The 19,997-nt window shown below is 37.0% G+C and overlaps 1 protein-coding gene across 11 annotated transcripts in view; it reads left to right on the top strand.

Moving 5' to 3' along the window:
* Positions 1-19,997, top strand: part of BARD1 (BRCA1 associated RING domain 1) — an 84,038-nt gene that overhangs the window by 25,403 nt on the left and 38,638 nt on the right. For 7 of the 11 annotated variants that reach the window (NR_104215.2, NR_104212.2, NM_001282543.2 and 4 more), the window contains 3 exons: positions 2,772-3,721; positions 14,969-15,049; positions 16,627-16,799. The exons of 3 other annotated variants lie outside the window; for them this stretch is intronic. Coding sequence is in view for 5 of the 8 variants with exons in the window: in NM_001282543.2 (NP_001269472.1) it covers positions 2,772-3,721; positions 14,969-15,049; positions 16,627-16,799 (1,204 nt within the window). In the remaining 3 variants the exon portion in view is untranslated. The remainder of the gene's footprint in view (positions 1-2,771; positions 3,722-14,968; positions 15,050-16,626; positions 16,800-19,997) is intronic. One more of the 11 variants, NR_104216.2, reaches the window with a different exon arrangement.

Below are 19,997 nucleotides of genomic sequence, written 5' to 3'. Positions count from 1 at the left end.
TTTTTTTTCGTGTTTGTTGGCCACATAAATGTCTTCTTTTGAGAAGTATCTGTTTATATCCTTCGCCCACTTTTTGATGGGGTTGATTTTTTCTTGTAAATTTGTTTAAGTTCTTTGTAGATTCTGGATATTAGTCCTTTGTCAGATGTATAGATTGCAAAAATTTTTCTCCCATTCTGTAGGTTGCCTCTTCACTCTGATGATAGTTTCTTTTGCTGTGCAGAAGGTCTTTAGTTTAATTAGATCCCATTTGTCAATTTTGGCTTTTACTGCCATTGCAGTAAAAGACTTCAGGACATTGTTTTAGTCTTGAAGTCTTTGCCCATGCCCATGTCCTGAATGGTATTGCCTAGATTTTCTTCTAGCATTTTTATGGTTTTAGGTCTTATGTTTAAGTCTTTAATCCATGTTGAGTTAATTTTTATATAAGGTGTAAGGAAGGGGTCCAGTTTCAGTTTTCTGCATATGGCTAGCCAGTTTTCCCAACATCATTTATTAAATAGGGAATCCTTTCCCCATTGCTTGTTTTGTTAGGTTTGTCAAAAATCAGATGGTTGTAGATGTGTGGCATTATTTCTGAGGGCTTTGTTCTGTTCCATTGGTCTATATATCTATGTCACAATGGTTTGCCGCACCTATCAACCCGTCTTCTAGGTTTTAAGACCCACATGCATTAGGTATTTGTCCTAATGCTCTCACTCCCCTTGCCCCCAACCCCCTGACAGGCCCTGGTGTGTGATGTTCTCCTCCCTGTGTCCATGTCTTCCCATTGTTTAACTTCCACTTATAAGTGAGAAGATGTGGTTTTTGGTTTTCTGTTCCTGTGTTAGTTTGCTGAGAATGATGGCTTCCAGCATTATCCATGTCCCTGCAAAGGACATGAAGTCATTCTTTTTTATGGCTGCATAGTATTCCATGGTGTATATGTGCCACATTTTCTTTAAAAATCACTTTCTTCCGTGGTCTCTGTAAGTGAGGTATACTGGCCATCCTTTAATTCCTTAAACTTACTACAGTTGCCCCTTGAATAACATAGGCTTGAGCTGCATGGGTCCACTTATATACAGATTTTTTTTGGTCAAATGCAGATGGAAAATACAGTATTCATGGAATGCAAAACCCAAGTATACAGAGGGCTGACTTTTTCTACACTCTGCTTCTCCAGGAGTGAGTACAGGAATTGAGTGTGTGGGTATTTTGGTATCCAAGGGAGTTCTCGAACCAGTCCCCTGATAATATGGAGGAACAACTTTGTATGCTCTCTGCTATTGGGCTTTTGAACATTTTATCATCTTGCTCTTGCCTCTTGGTCTAGGTAACTTGTGATCTTTTAGAATGCTTTTTACCATTTCTATTACTGTAACACTTGTCAGAGCCAATATATTTCCTCTTGGATGATAGCCACATAATTGGCTATTGTTTCTACTCTTTTCTTTCCAAAGTTCCTCCTCCACATGGCAGTCAGAGTGGTAATTCTACAATATAAAACATTATATCCCTTTTCTGCATTGGATGTGAGATCCACAGGACTGTTTCCTTTACATCATTTACATCTCAGCTCAAAAATCAACTTCTCCTTGATGCCTTCCTTGATGACCTTAATTAAAGTAGCAGGTGAGTGTAAAGAAGAGTATCTCTCACAAAATCTGGCACTTTGTGTACATAGAGACAATTTTTTTTCTTTTTAAAAACTCTGCTGAATCTTTGTATATTCTGTCTACCCTCAATGGAATCTTTGTGTTTTAATTCTTGATTATAAATCTATATTTTTCAAATTTTTAAAAAGTATTTTATATATATATATGTAGAAAAAATATATATTTTCTAACCATATAGTTTAATGAATTTGCACAAACTGAACTCACCCAGAACAAAAACAATACTCTGGAAGCCCCTCTTGTGCTCCCTTTCAGTCACTACTTTTCCCTGTAGGGGTAACCAACTACTATTCTGACTTAACACATTAAATCAGTTTTGACTGTTTTATATTTGATGTAAGTGAAAACATATAATGTGTATGTAGTTTATTTTGCTTAAGAGATTATGTTTGAATATGTAGTTATTGTTCATTTATTCTTACTAATCTTTGGTTATACAGCTTGACGTTAATATTAGATGATACCTAAAGGGTCATGACTATTGTCTTTAATCCCCTTTATTCATTTTGTCAGAGATACGTTTTGAAGTCATATAGTATGAGTCCTCCAACTTGGTTCTTCAGTATTATGTTGGTTGTTCTAAGTCTTTTGCCTTTCAAATTGTACCTTTCTTTTTCCGTGTAAATTTTATAATTGCTTGTCGAGTTTTACAAACAAGCCTACTGGAAATTACATTGGGATTTGTTATATCTGTAAATCTGTTTGGAACAATTGGCATCTTAACAATATTGTTATAGTTCATGAACATGGTATATCTCTCCATTTGTGTAGAATTCTTTAATAAGTATTTTGTAATTCTTAGCAAACAGAACTTATACATTCTGTTAGATTTGTATTTTATGGGTTTTTTTGGGTACTATATTTGGAATATAAGTTTCATGTTTTGTTCTCTGCTATATCTTCAGTCTCTAGGATATGGCACAAAGTCGGATTCAGTAAGTATTGAATGAGTGAATATCTGCTATCAAAGAGTTCACACTCTAGGAGCTGAGAAAGAAGTACATAATTAAAAGATGATACACTTTAGGGGAACTGTAAACAAAATTCTTCGGGAGCTCCATGTGGGAGCAATAAATTTCATGTAACAGATTTCTTTTTCTTTTTTTCTGTCAGATTTGAAAGAAGATAAACCTAGGAAAAGTTTGTTTAATGATGCAGGAAACAAGAAGAATTCAATTAAAATGTGGTTTAGCCCTCGAAGTAAGAAAGTCAGATATGTTGTGAGTAAAGCTTCAGTGCAAACCCAGCCTGCAATAAAAAAAGATGCAAGTGCTCAGCAAGACTCATATGAATTTGTTTCCCCAAGTCCTCCTGCAGATGTTTCTGAGAGGGCTAAAAAGGCTTCTGCAAGATCTGGAAAAAAGCAAAAAAAGAAAACTTTAGCTGAAATCAACCAAAAATGGAATTTAGAGGCAGAAAAAGAAGATGGTGAATTTGACTCCAAAGAGGAATCTAAGCAAAAGCTGGTATCCTTCTGTAGCCAACCATCTGTTATCTCCAGTCCTCAGATAAATGGTGAAATAGACTTACTAGCAAGTGGCTCCTTGACAGAATCTGAATGTTTTGGAAGTTTAACTGAAGTCTCTTTACCATTGGCTGAGCAAATAGAGTCTCCAGACACTAAGAGCAGGAATGAAGTAGTGACTCCTGAGAAGGTCTGCAAAAATTATCTTACATCTAAGAAATCTTTGCCATTAGAAAATAATGGAAAACGTGGCCATCACAATAGACTTTCCAGTCCCATTTCTAAGAGATGTAGAACCAGCATTCTGAGCACCAGTGGAGATTTTGTTAAGCAAACGGTGCCCTCAGAAAATATACCATTGCCTGAATGTTCTTCACCACCTTCATGCAAACGTAAAGTTGGTGGTACATCAGGGAGGAAAAACAGTAACATGTCCGATGAATTCATTAGTCTTTCACCAGGTACACCACCTTCTACATTAAGTAGTTCAAGTTACAGGCGAGTGATGTCTAGTCCCTCAGCAATGAAGCTGTTGCCCAATATGGCTGTGAAAAGAAATCATAGAGGAGAGACTTTGCTCCATATTGCTTCTATTAAGGTAGGATGCTTACTCTGAAATACCATCTCAGAATGAGGCCAACTATAAAGCAATTTCTTTGCAGTTTTTGAAAAATGGCATAGGATTACTAGGATAATTAACCTTTCACAGACATGATACTTCCTCTGAACCAGAGAAGCCAGATTCATAGGGAGAGCATCTCTACTTCAGTTGGAGCAGTGGCCCCTGAGTCTGGGCGCATGATCTTGTAGGAGAAAACCAATATTTGAATATTTCGGCTTTTATTTTGCCAAGTGCTTTTGCTTTTGTCTATTTTACCTTCAGTTTTTATCATTTTGTTTACCTGTCTTCATGCTTTATGAATGTAGACAATTGCTAAGTTATTACAGGCAACAATGTTTACTTAGTAAAAAAGCCCATATTTACCATCCAAATTCAACCAAAATTTGGAAGGTTGAAAGATGTGGTCTGTACATTTCTCCAATGACCGGGACATTTGACTATCAGAAATGGCTCCTCCAGTTCACCACAAAGGAGCTGCTTTTTACCCTACAATCAGCTGTTCCTTTTACTGACCTGTTCATTGACGTTCATTCTCTTTAATTATTGCCTCAACACCTGAGATGTGGCAGCGTTTTATGGAACCTGGCCTGTTTTCTGAACACTTGGCAGTGGTTAATCTTTGAAACTGACACAAACACTACATGTGAAATAGAGCAGTAGGCACCATAGCTTTATAAGCTTTGCTCTGTGATTTCATGCAAATGTTAGGAAAGTATGATATGGTAGACCTTAGTACTAAATTAGGATAGCTTTTATGCAGTCTCAGCGACTGTACGTAGTCAATTCACCCAGGAAATCCTTTGGTCTTCTGGATGGGTAGAGAACTTTGGGACACCTGGGAGGAACCACTTGGAGGTCCACAAACATGAGGCTGGTGGGCAACATAAAACATTTGAGAAGAACATGGAGTAGACATTGAGTGTGGTCCAAAGATTCCTGTATTTCTGTGTGGAGAAAGGGAATAGCATAAACTGAGCTTATCCCAGCTGCTGCTGGTTTGTTTTCCTTGCTTTTCTTCCAGATTAATGAGGAATACAGTCAGCTCTGTGTATCTGTGCATTCTATGTTTATGGGTTCAACCAACTGCGAATCAAAAATATTTGGGAGAAAAGCCAATAACAATACGCAATAAAAAAATGCAAATTAAAAAATATCGTATAACAACTATCTACATAGCATTTATATTGTATTAGGTGTTATAAGTAATTTAGAGATGATTTAAAGTATACTGGAGGATCTCTGTAGGTTATTTGCAAATACATCATTTTATATGAGGAATCTGGATTTTGGTATCTGCTGGGATTCTGGAACCAATCCCCCACAGATACTGAGGGATGACTGTACTCTATTTCTGATACCAGTGAGGCAGGGACCTTACAACATGACCACATATCCTTTGGACATGTTGAATTTTTGCACTTGGCTCTGGTTGTGTTTTAGTTTGATTTTTGCAAAGCCTGACTTAACAAAATTAGACATTTTTTGTCATCTCTGTTATATATATGTATATTATATGTACATATAAGCTATTGTAAACAAAGTTATAGACATAAGTAGCTAGTGTAATGATTATTTTTGTTCATTTTGCTGGCTAATACATAGTAATTTATATATTTTGCTTTCTGGGAAATTTTTGGACTATCAGGCAAGCATTTACTTATATTGGTGGCGACTTTTTCTTCTAACCATAAGAATAATTTATCTTTATTAATGAGGATCCCTAGGGTCTAGGCCAGAGTTTTGTAAGTTCTTTCTTAAAGGTGCAGTTAGAGTAAATGTTTTCAGCTTTGCAGGCCATGAAATCTCTATCATAGCGGTTCAGCTCTGCCTTCTTAGTGCAAAAGTAGCCACAGGCAATATGCAAACTAATAAAACTTACGTACAAAATTGGGTGACTGGCCCATAGGCTATAGTTTGCCTACTCTTGGTCTAGGCATGTGAAGAAACTGTAATAGAATATTAAGTCAGGATAAAATGATGGCATGCTCCTGTCTTGGTGAATTTTCTCTATTAATACGTTCAAGATTACTTCATATGAGTTTTGTCAGTTTGCTTAGAGTTTTGCCGGAATTATTAAATCCATTTTTATTTCCTTGAACTTAATTATTAAATGCAATTATTGTCACCAGTTGTCAGATTATGTTATGGTACATTTTTTAAAAGTTAATTTTTATTGTTTTTAAAATCACCAATTAATAGTGTCCTTTTAAATTTTTTTATGAGTTGAATGTATGCCTCTCGCCTTAGCTTTATTTTAATAAATATATCCTTAAAATCAGATTTGCTTATATAAATATATTTATATATTTTTTTCTTTTTTGGGGGTGGGGGGAGGGGCGGGGGACAGAGTCTTGCCCTGTCACCCAGGCTGGAGTGCAGTGGCACAATCTCAGCTCACTGCAACCTCCGCCTCCTGGGTTCAAGCAATCCTTCTGCTTCAGCTTCCCGAGTAGCTGGGATTACAGGCACCTGCCATCATGCCAGGCTACTTTTTATATTTTTAGTAGAGACGGAGTTTCACCATGTTGGCCAGGCTGGTCTCGAACTCCTCACCTCAGGTGATATGTCCTCGGCCTCCCAAAGTCTTGGGATTACAGGCATGAGCCACCATACCTGGCCAATCTTTTTAGAAACAGTTTTCATTTCATTCCTATCCTAATTTTCTCATTTGCAGCCAAGAATGAATAAATCTATGTGTACACATATTGCAATTCTGCTATCTTATTTATATTTTGCACCCACCTGCTTCAGAAAAGGATTTGAAGTGGCTCTAAAGTTAAAGCTACTATAAAATGGAACAAGGAGTTGGTAAAGAGGAAAGAGTTACTACAACTGGAGTGAATTTAGTTTTGGTGACCTTTAAGGCAGCCAAAGCAAATAAGGGGAAGGACCAGGTTTTGTGCTGTCAAAAGATAATGCATCTTTTTTGGTGGTGATTATTTATGTTTTGTACCCACCTACTTCAGAAAAGGATTTCAAGTGGCCTAAAGTTGTTTAGACTTGCGTTGTATTGTTTCTTAAGCATGTTGGTAAACTTGCAGTTTCTATAGTTTGAGCACATGTTTGCGCTGAGCATCCTTGGTGTATGCACCGAGGGCAGAGAACCCAGCAGGAGTTTGTTCTCCTGCACTAGTTACCTTCCCCCACTGCAGGTAGGGCTTTACTGATTGATTTCTGAGCTTGGAAACATTATTAATAAACATCGTATAATACCTTGCCCCAAACTACCTCTGGGCATCATCATTGGCCATAACCTTTCCATAGCTACCACCCTACTGGCAGCTACTTCTCTTTTCTTGCCCCTACCACTTGCATTAATTTTCTATTGGTGCCAAAACAAACTTCCACAAAGTTAGTGATTCAAAGCAATGCAAATTAATTTTCTTACAGTTCTGTACACCTGAAGTCTAGTATGGGTCTCATCACACTAAAATCATGTTGTCAGCTGTTTTCAGGAGGTTCCAGGAAAGACCCATTTCATTTTTGCTTGGATGGTTGGCAGGGACTTCATAATTCTTGTGGTAAGACTGAGATCCAGATTTCTTGCTGGTTTTCAGCTGAGGGTTGTTTCCAGGTTCTAGAGACTCTCACATTCCTTTAGTTCGTGGTCCTCTTCTTCATCTCATCCAGCAGCAGCAGATTGAGTCCTTCTCACATCTTATCTTTCTGACATAGCCAGAAAGACCCTCTGCTTTTAAGAATTCATACGATTAAATTGGGCTACTTGAGAAATGCGGAATAATCTCCCCATCTCAAGGTGTGTCCACTTAATTACACTGCAGTGTCCCTTTCACCACGTAAGGTAACATAGTCACAGGTTCTGGGGATTATTCGTGTGTGGACATTTTTGGAGGTCGTAATTTTTTGACCACACCACTGAAGTAGCTTCCTAATTTCCCTTTGTATTTCCTGCAGTCAGTTCTCTATGTAACAGCCAGAGTAATCTGACCGAAATCAAAATTATCATTTCTCTGCTCTCCTATCAGTAAGTCTTTTTTATACCCCTCTTCCTATTTGAATATCTTCATAACTCATGTTCCTATTTGAATGTCTGCATCAGCTATGTTAAACTGCTATTGAGAACACTGTGTCATGAATGGGAGAGTTTATGAGAAAGCTTTGTGCGTAAGTAGAAACTAAGATACTCATTGTTTATTCTTCTGATTTATTACCACAATTACTTTTGCACCAACCCAATAGAAAACAAAATACTAAGGATATAGAGAAAATTTTTTATTTTCTATTATGTCAGCTTTGCTTGAGAATTTGTGCCATCCTGACCTTCCCCTTTTCTTCCCCCACACCCTTCTACCAAGTTCTCTAGCACAAATTCTTAAAATGGCAATGACTACTCATAATTTATGCCACAGCAATGACTTACTGTGGAATAGAAGAATGGCTTGAAGCTGGCATGCCATGATTTATTAGTGATGTAGACATAATAGATAATGTTTTGAATGCAACTTACAAGGCATGGTATGCTTAGAACATAACAAAGGTGATGAAGATCCCCTGGAGAGAGAGAAGATCCCTTGTGAGGAGTCTCATTTAGAGTTTAACTTTGTAGTTTATTATACTTGAAGACAGTCATGTTATATTGTGTGTGAAATTATATATCCTTCATAGTAGCTTCATGAGAAGGTAGCAAAGGAAACAAAAGCAGCCTTGGCATATGTGATATTTTCAAGAGTTTAATTTCTAAAACACCTCCTGGAGTCAGTATCTATTTTTCTCCTCTGTCACTCACCACATATGTATAAGTCTGCTTTTGTAATACCAGTAACTTATTGTGCCATTGACCAGGTTATCAGAATTATCTGTTAAATTACAGGCATACCTCATTTAATTGCACTTCACTTTTTTATGCTTCGCAGAGAGTTTTGTTTTTGTGTTTTTTGGCAATCCTGCATTGAGCAAGTCTGTCAGTGCTGTTTTTCCAACAGCCTATGCTCAGTGTGTCTCTGTGTCACATTTTGGTAATTCTCACAATATTTCAGATATTTTCACTATTGTTGTATCTGTTACGGTGATTTGTGATCAGTGATCTTTGATGTAACTATTGTAATTGCTTTGGGGCACCACAAACCCTGGCCATGTAACATGGCAAACTTAATTGATAAATGTCTTTTCTGACTATTCTGCTTACTGATAATTCTCCCATCTCTCTCCCTTTGAATCCCTGTTTCCTGGGACACAAGAATATTGAATTTAGGTAAACTAACAACCCTACAATGTCCTCTGAGTTTTCAAGTGGAAGGAAGAGTCACTCATCTCTTACTTTATATAAGAAGCTAGAAATGATGAGTGAGGAAGGCATGTTGAAAGTTGAGATAGGCCAAAAGCTAGGTCTCTTGCCAAACAGCCAATTTGTGAATGCAAAGAAAAAATTCTTTAAGTAATTTAAAAGAGCTACCCTGTTGAATACACAAATGAGATGAGAAGAAAGCATAACCGCCTTACTGCCGATATGAGGAGAGTTGGAATGGTCTGGATAGATGATCAAACCAACCACATTTCCTTAAGCAAAACCCTACTCCAGAGCAAGATCCTAAATCTCTTCAATTCTGTGAAGACTGAGAGAGGTGAGGAAGCTGCAGAAGAAAAGTTGGAAGCTAGCAGAGGTTGGTTCATGAAGTTGAAGGAAAAAAGCTGTCTCCATAATATAACAATGCAAGTTGAAACAGCAGGTGCTGATGGAGAAACTGCAGCAGGTTATCCAGAAGATCTAGCCAAGATAATTATGAGAGTGGCACACTAAACAACAGATTTCAGTGAAGTTGAAACAGCCTTTTGTTGGAAGAATATGCCATCTGTGTCTTTCATAGCTAGAAAGGAGAAGTCAATGCCTGGCTTCAAAGGACAGGCTTTCTTGTTAGGGGCTAATGCAGCTGGTGACTTGAAGTGGAAGCCAATGCTCATTTACCATTTAGAACAACAAAGCCTGGGTGGGAGCACATCTTGACAGCATGGTTTGCTAAATATTTTAAGCCTGCTGTTGAGACCTACTGTTCAGGAAAGATATTCAAAATATTACTAATTGACAGTGCCACCTAGTCACCCAAGTGTTCTGATGAAGATAAGGACATTAATGCTGTTTTCATGTCTCCCAACAAAACATCAATTCTGTAGCCCATGGATCAAGGAGTAACTTTACTTTCAAGTCTTGTTACTTAAGCATTTTGTAAGGCTATAGCTGTTGTAGATGGGTATTCCACAGATGATTCTGGAAATGACTCACCATTCTAGATGCCATTAATATCATTGATGATTCATGGGAGGATGTCCAAATGTTAACATTAACAGTAGTTTGGAAAAGAGTTGATTACAGTTTTCATGGATGACTTTGAGAGGTTCAGAACTTAAGTGGAGAAAGTAACTATAGATGTAGTAGAAATAGCAAGATAACTAGAATTAGAAGTGGAGCCTGAAGACGTAACTGAATTGCTGCAGCCTCATGATCAAACTTCAATGGATGAGGCGTTGTTTGTTATAGATGAGAAAGAAAGTGGTTTCTGCAGATGGAATCTACTTCTGGTGAAGATGTTGTGAACACTGTTGAAATGACAACAAAGGATTTAGAAAATTATATCATCTTAGTTGATAAAACAGCAGCAGGGTTTGAGAGGATTGGCTCCAATCTTGGGAGAAGTTCTACGCAGATAAAATGCTACCAAACAGCGTCACATGCTACAGATAAATCTTTCATGAAATGTCAGTGGATGTGGCATACTTCATTGTCCTGATTTAAGAAACTGTCACAACCACCCAAACCTTCAGCAACTACCTGCTTGCTCAGTCAGCAGCCAGCAGCATCAAGGCAAGACCATCCACCAGCAAAACAATTGTCACCATTTTTTAGCAATAAAGTTATTTTCAATTAAGGTCTGTTCATTTTTTTTAAAAAACATAATGCTATTGCACACTTAGTAGACTACAGTATAGTGCACATATAACTTTTATATGTGCTGGGAAACCAGAAGATTCGTGTGACTTGTTTTATTGCAATATTTGCTTTATCGCAGTGACCTGGAACTGAACTGACAGTATCTCCGAGATATGCCTGTATTTTATTCAGTAAATTCTAAGAAGCTACAGAAATATTTAACATATTTTAGAGCTTCATTCCAGTTGGTTCATTTTTGTTTGTTTGTTTTAATGGCATCTAATTGCCAAGAAGGGAAGTCTTTGGTTCCTGGTCGGTTCATTTACATGGAAAGGCTTAACCATGCTAGGCAAGTCATTTGTCTTATACTTAATTGTAACGTTCTGTATTGTTTTTATGAATATGTTTATTAATGGTATTTTAGAAGAGCTAACATTTATAATAAGGAAAAGTTTTGTTTTTATGTGTGTGTTTTTGGAAAGTTAATTTATATTGTTGGAATATGTGTGGATCTGCAGTATGTACAAATGTGTGAAGGATCTTTCCTTTGATTGAAAGATTAGGAATAAAAGATTCAGTGGGACACACACACACTCTTATTTTCAGCCTTCAGTGTATTACTTGAAAATACCAAATTCATTTAAAATTTTTAATAAGCCTTGGCAAATACTTTCCTTAGATAAATTATGTTTGCTGTGGTTTAAGAAAAGTTCAATTATTCTTTCAAGTTGTGAGGAGCCCAAAAGTGAGTACTTGAAAGTAATTTAAAGAAGCCAGAATCAAAACTTAATTTATTTCCTGGCTACTTCATATCAGTTCAAGCTATTCCAGTTACTGTAGACTCTATCTAATTATCATAATTTTATTTATGCGCATGACATTACATTTACATGAAGTAGAAAGATGAAAATATGACAAAACTTTCAAGTACTAGAGAGGAGAAAGCAGATTGGTTATAAAAAGCAAGCCGTTTGCTAATCAGCTATACAGTTCAGGGGTGGGGAGAATGTTAACAGAAGACACTTTGATAATATGAAGAGGTGACATGAAAGAAAAATAGCAACTGTCTAACAACCTTAAAAGAGAGTCTACTTGTATTCTTTAAATTGTCACTCCGTTTCTGTTTGACTATTCCCTTGAGACTCTTCCATTTCACAATTGTGTTTATATTATTTTTTAAGCTTCTTTAATATTTTTTTTTTGCATTACCATGTAGAATTAGAATGGGGAAATCTTTGAGAAGGTTTTTGTGTGTGAGTACTTTCATGTTAAAGATAGGGAATGTGTGTGGTTCTGGCAGTTTATCTGCTCACTTGTTACAGGATTGTTTTGGAAAAAAAAATTTGTATCTTGGCAGATATTCCTGCATTCATTTGTAACCGTTATGAATATAAAGCAAAAGTTGCAGGGGCTCACACCTGTAATCCCAATAATTTTGGAAGCTAAGGCAGGAGATTGCTTGAGTCCATTAGTTTGGGCAACATAGTGAGACCCCCATCTCTACAAAACAATAAAAAAAATTAGCTGGGCATGGTGATGTATGCCTAGCAGTAGCATACTGCTGAGGCTGAGGCAGGAGAATTGCTTGGGCCCAGGAGCTTGAAGTTACAGTGAGCTATGATCATGCCATTGCACTCCAGTTGCTAAATACATGATAACTTGCTCTAGAAGTAGAATTTGCACTGTTAAGAAATCTGGGAAAATGTTGCTTTTTTTTTTTTTTTTTTTCCTGAAACTGGGGTAATTAATTTGAAACCTACAATCCTTTTAGACCCATTGAGCATTTAAGGTCATTTTGTTAATTTAGGAATATAAAAATGTATGTTGCATGAGAATTTACTTTTTTAGAAAACTGAAGATTTGAGAAACAGCCCAGAGCACAGAAACAGAGACAATTAGATATAAAAAGCATTTTTTTTTTTTCTGAGGTAGAGTCTCGCTCTGTCGCCCAGGCTGGAGTGCAGTGGTGTGATCTCAACTCACTGCAACCTCCGCCTCCTGGGTTCAAGCAGTTCTCCTGTCTCAGCCTCCTGAGTAGCTAGGATTACAGGCGTGTACCACCATGCCTGGCTAATTTTTGTGTTTTTAGGAGAGACGGGATTTCACCATGTTGGCTAGGCTGATCTCAAACTCCTGACCTCATGATTTGCCTGCCTCAGCCTCCCAAAGTGCTGGGATTACAGGTGTGAGCCACCACGTCTGGCCAGCAAAATTTTTTAAAAAGAAAAAAAAATCAAATATTATATTTAGGAGAATTAGTGATTTCTACATTATCAAACCAACAGAGGAAAAAAATTTCAGAAAAAAGTATTGGGAGAGGGGTTGGGTGGGGAGAGATTTATTCACTAAAGAAGCACTCACGAAACTCATTGAACACAATGTTATGCATGTAACTTCTGTCTATAGCTTTTTATTTGGTCTTTTTTGAGAGTATGCTCTGCTAGATATTTTTGCTTTATCGTCATGGACTTAGGTACTGTACCCTGCCCTGTTATCCTAAAAGAACTGATTAGTTATATTTGCAGTGAGTGGTGATAATAATGTAATTTCAAGAAAATTTTTACCTTCATCCCGCTGCATAAATGCCTCCTTCTTCCTAAAGCCTGACATTGTTTTACAAAGGGACAGTATCCTTTATATTACAGCTAGAGATTTTTAAAAAGGCTTTAAGAGTTAACGGATACTTAAAACGTAATATGTAATTAAATATAAATGATAGATGTCAGATCTTTCCACATTACATGAAGGGCCAAATTTAAGAGACCCTGGTATTAGATAGCTGGAGGATTATTATCTCTCACTTCTAGGAAAATAAAAAAGAAGAGTGGGAGGGCAGACTACCTGAGACCAGTTCCCCAGAACTCCTTTGCCACAGTCTACCTTCGCTGGAGGCTGGCAGCAGAGGGAAGCTATTTTTTTTGTCTTACTTCAAGACAGCTTTAAAGTGACCTTAAAAGTCTACTCATTTATAGTAGGATTTAGTTGGATCATGACACACAAGACACAGAAAGTTCAAAACTGGAAGGGGTCTTCAATTTTAATGCTATTTAATAATTGACGGTGTCTTAATATGAAAGTCGAATTAATATTGTCTGCCTTCAGAGTATTTTCCTTGCCTTGTGCCTCATTTTAATTCACTTATTCCCCGGATCTTGCTCATCTGATTTAAAAAGAGGTTGTGATTTCTAAAGTAAAGTTATTGTATTTCTTACTATTCCTCATCTGCCTTCTCCATTGCATCAGTGTGCTACTGTTGCTACTGTTATAACATTGTTGCATAGCTCTCCAGAGTACTGGAATAGAGAAATAGAGAAATTGAAAACCACTTGTTAGAAAAGACTTGTAAGGCTACATTACAGAAGCTCTATTTCGTATAGTTGAATTAGTTGATAATGGGTGGTGATTTTAGTCTTGAACTGGGCGGGGAGCAGGGGGATAAAAAATTTAATGCTAATTCTGTGGGCTGATTTGAATAGGTTTGTACTGATCTCTTTTTTTGCCATTTTAAACAGAGCAACTGTTGCTTCCTAGAAAATGTTGAACAAATAAGGTGAATATAAACTAAATGTATTAGGATGGAGTAACTGCCAATAAAATGGCAGTTTTTGGCTGTTTTTTAACTTTGGTTTCACTGAGTAGTCTTCTGGGCTAAACAGTTTTGGTTGTTTTAAACAATACTCAGAAGCCATTTACAAATGCTCAAAAATTGTTTTTTTCACAAGTGAAATTATGGCTTTTAAAACTTCATTGTGAGCACATGATCTTTGGCCAGTGTCCTTTATTTGGTACCTGAAATGAATTTTGAATATGGCTTTCTAATAGATTTTGTAGTCTATATTCAAGCATGACTGTACTTCTTGATATCTCAGAATAATTTATACGCAGACAATTTCTTTTTTGTTTTGTTTTTTTGAGACGGAGTCTTGCTCTGTGGCCCAGGCTGGAGTGCAGTGACATGATCTTGGCTCACTGCAACCTCTGCCTCCTGGGCTCAAGTGATTCTCCTGCCTCAGCCTCCCAAGTAGCTGGGATTACAGGCTGGCACCACCATGCCCGACTAGTTTTGTATTTTTAGTAGAGACGGGGTTTCACCATGTTGACCAGGCTGGTCTCAAACTCCTGACCTCAGGTGATCCACCCACCTTGGCCTCTCAAAGTGTTGGGATTACAGGCGTGAGCCACCACACCCGGCCTAATAATTTATTAACTCATGAACAGTAGCCTTAAGAGAAAACGATTTAAGTTTTACTTTATATTGAAGAAGGCAGCATTTAAAAAAGCTCAATATTTTCCTTTCTTTCCTTAATGCTTTTTAATTTCCGTTTTGTTCATTTTTCTAGGGCGACATACCTTCTGTTGAATACCTTTTACAAAATGGAAGTGATCCAAATGTTAAAGACCATGCTGGATGGACACCATTGGTAGTTGTCTGGTTTTTATTCTCATTCTTTCTGTGTTTTACAGTTCTTATAGTTTATAGTTATGTAGTTGTCTATATATCATCCTCTGCCACATATACTCTTTTTAGTCTGAAGAACTTATGTTTTCATCAAGTATGAGAACATGATTACTTTCCTTCTAGCTTTTCATTTGTGACAGGCAAGAAATTGGTTACCTTTTGACAGACTACCTTTAGATTTAGGAATCCATTTGTACTGTACTGCAGAATTTAGCTAATGTCTAGAGGTAACAGCTACAGCTGACATCAGGCTCCATTCTGTAGCACTGCATGTCACTGGAACCAAATTTCTTGGAACAAAAAGAGGTCGGAGGAACTGAGTATAGGAAAGTGATCACAAGGAAGTAATTCTCACTGAGGGTCTATCTTAGCCTCACTTATACCCTATCCAATTGTAGATATATAAGGCAGTAGAAATCTTTGCTTACATTAAACATTTTTAAAGGTCTTTGCTTATTATTACTAAAAAAGTGTGAAGCATAATCTGGAAACAGAATGACACAAATACTTGGAAACAATTGGTATGTAGGCCAATTACATTAGGACAAACATGAGATTTGAATGCAGCCACAGAAGTGTCAGCAAATGAAGTGGATGCCTTCATCCTGTAACTAGAAATTCAGCCCAGAAATTAGGAGACTCTCAGTAGGCTAGGTGCAAGAAAGCTGGGAGAGTTTAGTCTAGATCAGTCGCTTTGCTGGTTGGACTCTACTGGCTGGCTAACCTTTTCAAAGAAAGGTTAATTTTATTTTTTTCTTCAAAGCCACTAAGGCAAGTTGTAGTAAAGATTGGTTAGTGATTTAGAGGGTTTAGTGCCTAGTTTGGATTCCTTTCTCCTAAAAATAGACCTACAGATGTTGAGTGTGATATCACTTATTATGAATTGAAATTGATGTACTTAAAAAGTATAGAATGCCAGAGATTTATTAGAATACAGCATTGTTTATAGTTCATTAGACATAAGGAAAGATTTGGATGTAAGGCATCTTTGAACACTCCATTGTTGCCGTTTCTGTCATTCAGCAAGCTCTTTTTGTATTCCTACTCGTGTTATTTCTCTTATCAATAACAGCAGCCATACAGCAATTTGTAGGTTCAGCAAATAGCTTATCTTAAAAGCATTCCTTCACGGATACTTACTTTGTTGCATGATATGTGTATGTACTGGTACAGATTTTATGTATCATCTTGTTATTAAATATGTAGACTTTTTTCTTAATGTGTTACATTTATTGTAGAACATTTAAGGAGCTACCGTTGGTTTAAAACTACATTTTCTTCTAAAAAACAGAAAAGTGCTTGACCCAAGGCTCAAATGAGAATAGCCTTTCTTTTTTTATGAGTTACACAGATCTTGATTGAAAGATTATTAATAGTAACTTTCACTCTGTCAGCAACTTATAGTGTTTTTGAGTATTTAGGTAACAATAAATTTACTGCCTGACGTTTACATTTATTTTTCTAAAGTGTGATATTATAATATCATCCATTGCTCTTTCTTATCACTTCTTTCACTTCTTTTTCAAAAAATTTAATTAGCATGAAGCTTGCAATCATGGGCACCTGAAGGTAGTGGAATTATTGCTCCAGCATAAGGCATTGGTGAACACCACCGGGTATCAAAATGACTCACCACTTCACGATGCAGCCAAGAATGGGCATGTGGATATAGTCAAGCTGTTACTTTCCTATGGAGCCTCCAGAAATGCTGTGTAAGTAGTTCAACGTAAAAATTATTTTTAAAATGGACCTATATTCTTGAATCAAGGTGTGTGATAAAGCAGACTTTAAAATAGTCAAGTTGATGGCTTTCTTCACTTTCACAACTAAAATTAGATGTGATCATCACATTCTGCACTCATAATCAGCCTTCATGCCCTTTTTATGATACAGTTGGTCCTTCATATTCTTGGGTTCTACACTTGAGGATTCAGCCAACTGCAGATCAAAAATAATTGGGAAATATCAATGACAGATCGGATAAAAAAAATGTGTTACATATATACCATGGAATACTATGCAACTACAAAAAAGAATGAGATCATGTTTTTTTGTGGGCACATGATGGAGCTGGAGGCCATTATCCTTAGTAAACTAACGCATGAACAGAAAACCAAATACCGCATGTTCTCACTTATAAGTGAGAGCTAAATGATGAGAATTCATGAACACAAAGAAGGGAACAACAGACACCAGAGTCTACTTGAGTGTGGAGGATGGGAGGAGGGAGAGGAGCAGAAAAAGTAACTATTAGGTACTAGGCTCAATACCTGGGTGGTGAAATAATCTGTACAACACACCCCCGTTACACAAGTTTACCTATATAACAAACCTTCACAACTTAAATAAAAACCTAGAATAAAAGTTTAAAAAGGGGAAAAAAAATAACACTACGATAATAAGTAATATAGGTAAAACAATATAGTATAAATATTTATACAGCATTTCATACTATTAGGTATTACAAGTAATCTGGAGATGATTTAAAGTATACGGGAGGATGTGTGTAGTTTACAAGTAAATACTATGCCATCTTTTATAAGAAACTTGAGCAGCGGCACATTTTGACATCACGGGTTGAGGAACCAATTCCCCATGGATAGCAATGGGGATAACTGTGCTGACATATTTGGGGGAGATTTACTTTCTTAATTCAGAAACAGTTGTCAATTTTGGAAGCTTTCATTTAATGGAAAAATTTACTTAGTGTTTATATTCTGTAGATTGATTTACACTTTAATAAGCAGTTATTGTAGAAATAATTATTTTGTATGCTTCCTAATAGTTTGGAATTATTTTAAATATTTCATTCCCATTTTATTTTTTCTGTGTATTTACTATTACAACAGGTAAAGCATATAAGAATTTAAATATTGGGCCGGGGCAGTTGAATTATTTCTTAAATTTTTTACATCATTCACATGAGGTTCTGGGTGAACTTTTTGCAGTGTCAGGACACAGAGATGCATTAGTGAATGCCAGCAGCTGGATTTTAAAATTGGCATTGTCAAGAGTGTCACAAGCAAATGCTGTATGTAGATTTTGTATCTTTAATCTGTAACTTGGTTCATGTCTCCCTATGTAGTATTTTATTCTTTTCAGTTAATTAAGTAGTTGAAATGAAAATGCAGGTATTGCGTCTCTGCCCTTGTTGCTTCTATAGGTTTGAAAAGGGCACAAAAAAATTAAGTTTTCAATGGTAACAGATGCAAATAAGAATTATAAAATGCAGGGCTTCTAGGTCGTAATTTTTTATTGGTAATTATTTAACATAATTGAAAACCAAATTAATAATGCAAGAATGTACCATACCTTGGTGCTGTTAGTTTCAGTAAATGTGTCTAATCTCTTTTATCTCTCATCACAGGTTATAAGATAATTGGGGCAAATTCAGGGGATGTGTATATTCTTCCGGTTTTTATTTGTGTGTGTGTGTGTGTGTACACACGTGCGTGTTTGTGTGTGTCTCCATATACATGGACCTATTTCTTTGTAAGGACCTAACCGATATGACCCTCCCATATGTGTTGCAAGCTATTTGGTAACGCAAATTATTGCTTGGGTCAGGTGAAACTGACTAGTTTTCATTCTAGGGTTCTTAAATCAGCCATGACTACTTTAATGGATGGAGCACTGGTCAGGGCGTTAGGGAATCTAGCTTTTATTTGTGACTCCATTACTGACTGTATAGCTTCAGGCAGGTTAATTTCTGTGCCTTGGTGTCCTCACCTATAAAACATGGGTGATGCCTGCTGCATTTCTATTTCTTCAGAGCATAGTGAGGATTAATGAGCCAAAACACAGAGCCTGTCTTGTGGTTTGTACACCATGATTCGTCACTGCACTGTGAGGGCTTATTAATATACAAGGAGTGGCATGAGACAGTGAGTGAGTCTGCCTTCACAGGTGCCTTCAGTGTTGGTTTAAGTAGGACTACCTAGTGAAGTGGCAAATTTAGGTATATCTGTTCCTCAGCACTGTCCAGTAGACCTTTCTGTGGTGGTGGAAATGTTTATATCTATGCTGGACATTCAGTAGCCACTAGTCACCTTTACTATTGAACACTTGAAAATTAGCTATTGCTACCAAGGAATAAATTTTAAAATGTATTTTATTTTAACCATATGTGCCAGTGACTACTGTGTTGGACAGCTGGTTGATACAGCTGGGCAGTTGGGAAGTAGGGTTTATTTCACCCAAGAGGTTGGGATTGATATTGGATAAAGGATAGTAGGGCAGATGAAGGGACAGATTTAATCCTAGGGTACAAGAGTATGGTGGCTGTTTCTAAAAATTTCCTTTCCAGACTATTGGTCTTCATACTTTTTTCCTGTGTTTTTTGCCTCTTAAAAACATGTCGTAGTCATTGTTGTTCATCTGATTGGCTTTACAAATTTCCTGACTGTTCTCCTCCTTTTCAGGTTACTTTTCTTTATTCACTCTCCATCCTGCAGCCAGAGCACCTGCAGAAGAACACGAGTCTGGCCAAGTCATTTATTTGCTTAAAATCCTTCCGTGGCTTCCTCTTAATGTTTTTAAAATAAAGGTTAAATCCCAAAATATGGTTTATAAGACCCTGGATGGTCTGGTGCTACTTTCCTCTCTGTTCTCATCGGTCTTCACAGCTTCTCCTTTCCCCCTTTCCTTCAAGCATTTTTTGCACCAGCTTTTCTGAATTTTTGTTTCCTTAAAATATGTAGGGTCTTTTACCTCCTAGCCTTTGTACATGTCTTTGCATTGTCTAGAATATTTGTTTTTGGTAGCCAGTTTCTCATTTGGGTTTCACCTGGGTTATCCTGTCCTTTTGGCCACCTTTCCTGATGTGGTACTTCTCCCCAGTCGTAGGACTTACTGTTTCCTCCCTTCTCGTGAGGCTGTAAGCTGTATGGGCCAGGGATCATGTCTGCCCT

Source organism: Homo sapiens, chromosome 2 (assembly GCF_000001405.40).
Source record: "Homo sapiens chromosome 2, GRCh38.p14 Primary Assembly".
In the NCBI taxonomy this organism is placed as follows: domain Eukaryota; kingdom Metazoa; phylum Chordata; class Mammalia; order Primates; family Hominidae; genus Homo; species Homo sapiens.
The sequence above is the reverse complement of the archived record's forward strand: the minus strand, read 5'-3'. Positions and strand labels throughout refer to the sequence as shown.